Here is a 3,448-nt window from a genome sequence, read left to right as displayed (position 1 = left end):
TGCCTCTCTCACACACAAATACTTATGGCATATGAAAGCAGAGACTTTACTTGTCATGGTCAAAGTCATAGCCCCAAGATCCCAAGCCCCAACTAGAAAGCGTGGCACATAGTAGGTGTTCAGTTAATGTTTGTTTAAAGATGAATACATGAGTAGATCAACGAGTGTACAAATGACTACTATTGCTGATAACTATATTTTTCTCCAAAAGATTATTTATTACAATCCACATGAAAGGAAACGCAAGAAGAGCTACCAGCATTACCAATAAGAGTAAAGCATATCTTTTAAGCAGTCAGGGTTCATGAGTCAAGAAAGCATTTGGCACACAATAGGTGCTGAATAAATATTCACTGGGCGGACTAGGGATATAACTTGACATGCTCAGAAAAGCATTAGCCTGGGAGTCCAAATTCTGCTCCCCACATCCCCATTTCTAAATGCCACAATGAGCTGTCTTGAAATGTGAGGCTTTATGCTTTCGTTGTCTTCTCTCCCTAGCCTTCCCGTGTCACTCTTTCCTGGTAAGTCAGAGGGATCTACACTGTGTAAAAAAGAATTAAAATCGTTTCAGCAGAAATGAAAGGAGAAATTGATTAGGTTCTTTTTTTATCTTTTTCTCGCTTCAAAAGGCAGCTCTTGAAAACAAACAGGGACAGCCCCAAGGGGAGCAAGGCATAAAGTTTACACCATAATGAGGATATGAAAAGAGAACATAGAAATTGCCAGAGACCCCCATTCCCAGGGCGCTGGGGGAGACTCAGCTAGGAGGGGACCGGACTTGAAGGGACAAAGTGAATGGGATCTGAGTCAGCATCCAGAGAGCCCCAGAAGCCAGAGGCAGAGGTTGCAGTGAGCCGAGATCGCTCCACTACACTCTAGCCTGGGCGACAGAGTGAGACTCTGTCTCAAACCAAAAAAACAAAAAAGCTTAGGGCTTAAGCCAAGCCCTGCAGACCACCCACTGCCAATTAAGTATCCCCCTGAGCTCTTCAGAGCCAGACAGGGGCCTTCTATAGGCAGCTGCTCAGAGGTCTTCAAGGATCACCCAGTGGGACAGTGCCCACCTAAAACCAGGACTGGAGTGAGTGCTCACTGAACCAAACCACTGTGGGCCAACCCTCTTGTCAACAGCCTGAGATCCTTCTAAGTTCCATCTCCTGGTGTGCAGAGGGCTGCTGGTAGTGTATGGGGCAGAAGCCCCAGAACCTGGACCCATCTGAGACCAGACAGCGAGTGGCCAAACCCAGGCCTGTTTTGTGAAGCCTTGACCTCTATAAGCCTCCATGTCCTCTTCTGTAAGATGACCAGAGTGACCCTTGATCATCACAAGCAAACAGCTGGCAGATGGAGAGAAGTGGGACTTTCCTCCCCCTTGAAGTGCTCTCAGCAGCATTTGTGTAGGAGAAGCATGGGGGAGGGGGTGGTGAGGAAGACTAGAGCCAGCCTGGCACAAAAGAGAGATGACTCCTCGGGAGCTTGCTTCCAAATAGCTGTGACGGCAAGCCAGACCATCTGTTCCAGAAGTTCTCTTCTTGAGGAAGCAATGGTGGGATCAAGACAACAAGCAGTCATTCATCCATCCATCCATCTACCCAGTCATTCATTCTACAAAGATTTATTGAGCATTTTCTGTGTGCCAGGCACTGGGAATAAAACTGCAAACAAGAAAGCTCAGGGTTGGCCAGGCGTGGTGGCTCATGCCTGTAATCCCAGCACTTTAGGAGGCCGAGGCAGGTAGATCACCTGAGGCCAGCAGTTCAAGACAATCCTGGCCAACATGGTGAAATCCCATCTCTACTAAAAATACAAAAATTAGCTGGGCATGGCAGTGGGTGCCCGTAATCCCAGCTATTCAGGAGGCTGAGGCAGGGAGAATTGCTTGAACCAGGGAGGTGGAGGTTGCAGTGAGCTGAGATCGCTCCACTGCACTCCAGCCTGGGCGACAGAGTGAGACTCTGTCTCAAAAAAAAAAAAAAAAAAGCTTAGGGTTTCATGAAGCAGACAAGCATTTAAAGTTACTTAAAGACAAGTGTTTACCTACAGTTGTCAAAAGTGCTCCAAGGAAAATGTACAGAAATCACGATTGTCTACTGCGAAGAGTCTGAGATTTACACTACTTGCAAGTTAGCAAGTTTTGTGGATGCTGGCAGAAGATGCAAGACTCCTGGGTCAAAGACAAAGGACAGTTGATGACTCACAGCAACAGCAGTAGCCAGATTACTGCTACTTGCATCACTTCCTCAAGTCCCAATTCCCACAGGGCAGTGCAAAGCCATGTGGAGAGCTGCATTATAGGAGAGGAACCATAAGCTCAGGAAACCCAAAACAGCATTTGTGTCTGTGGCAAACACACACACACACACACACACACACACACACACACACACAACATAAAATTACCACCTCAACCATTTCTAAGTGGACAGTTCAGTAGTCTTAAGTATTCACCTTGTTGTGTAGCAGATCTCCAGAATATTTTCATCTTGCATAACAGAAACTCTGTATCTACTGAACAACTCCCCATTTTCCCCTCCCTGAACCCCTGGCAACTACTATTATACTTTCTGCGTCTATGAATTTGAAAACTCTAGGTACTCATGTAAGTGGAATCATATAGTATTTGTCTTTTTGTGTCTGGCTCATGTCACTTACCATAATGACCTCAATTTTCATCCATGTGGTAGTGTGTGCCAAAATTTCCTTTCTTTTTAAGGCTGAATCATATTAAGAAACCCAAATCTTTTATAACAGATAGTAAACATACCTGCTCTTTGCTCTGAAGAAAGACACCATCTCTATCTTTCAAGGCAGTTTACTATGTGAACATTCTCTAAAATGTAATCTGGAACAAAGGCAGTCAGGATGTTTGCTTGCAAGACATGCAGAAACACAAGACTCCCATGGAAAATTATCTCCCAACAGCTATCAATCCAAAAGAGACTCGTTCGTACACTCATCCATTCATTCAATTCACATTCATCCTTGCTGAGAACAGGACAGCAGTGAAACACAGTGCTACAAATAATAATGGGCTTTGTCCTCACATAATTTACAGACAGAAGACCCCAGTACAAGCAGGTAGCATAACACTGTGATTGAAGACATATAAATTTTCTTTTTTTCTTTTTTTTGGAGACAGGGTCTCACTCTGTCACCCAGGCTGGAGTGCAGTGGCACAATTATGGCTCACTGCAGCCTCAAACTCCCAGGCTCAAGTCATCTTCCTGCCTCAGCCTCCTGAGTAACTGGGACTACAGGTGTGCACTACTATGCCTGGCTAATTTTTTTTTATTTTTTAATAGAAACCAGGTCTCACTATATTGCCCAGGCTGGTCTCAAACTCCTGAGCTCAAACAATCCTCCTGCCTTGGGGATTACAGGCATGAGTGAGTGTTGGGATTGCAGGCGTGAACCACTATTGGGATTACAGGCATGAGCCACTGTT

At 45.2% G+C, this 3,448-nt stretch overlaps 1 annotated feature.

Annotated features, from left to right (window-relative positions):
- Positions 489–1,473: an enhancer, noted in NCBI's record as "H3K27ac hESC enhancer chr20:49651184-49652168 (GRCh37/hg19 assembly coordinates)". NCBI's record gives its function as "activates a minimal SCP1, AML or CMV promoter by ChIP-STARR-seq in naive H9 embryonic stem cells {active_cell/tissue: H9 hESC(naive)}" and the evidence as "EXISTENCE:reporter gene assay evidence [ECO:0000049][PMID:30033119]".

This window comes from Homo sapiens, chromosome 20, assembly GCF_000001405.40.
Source record: "Homo sapiens chromosome 20, GRCh38.p14 Primary Assembly".
Classification (NCBI taxonomy): domain Eukaryota; kingdom Metazoa; phylum Chordata; class Mammalia; order Primates; family Hominidae; genus Homo; species Homo sapiens.
Note: the sequence above shows the minus strand (reverse complement) of the source record. Positions and strands in the feature narration are given on the sequence as shown.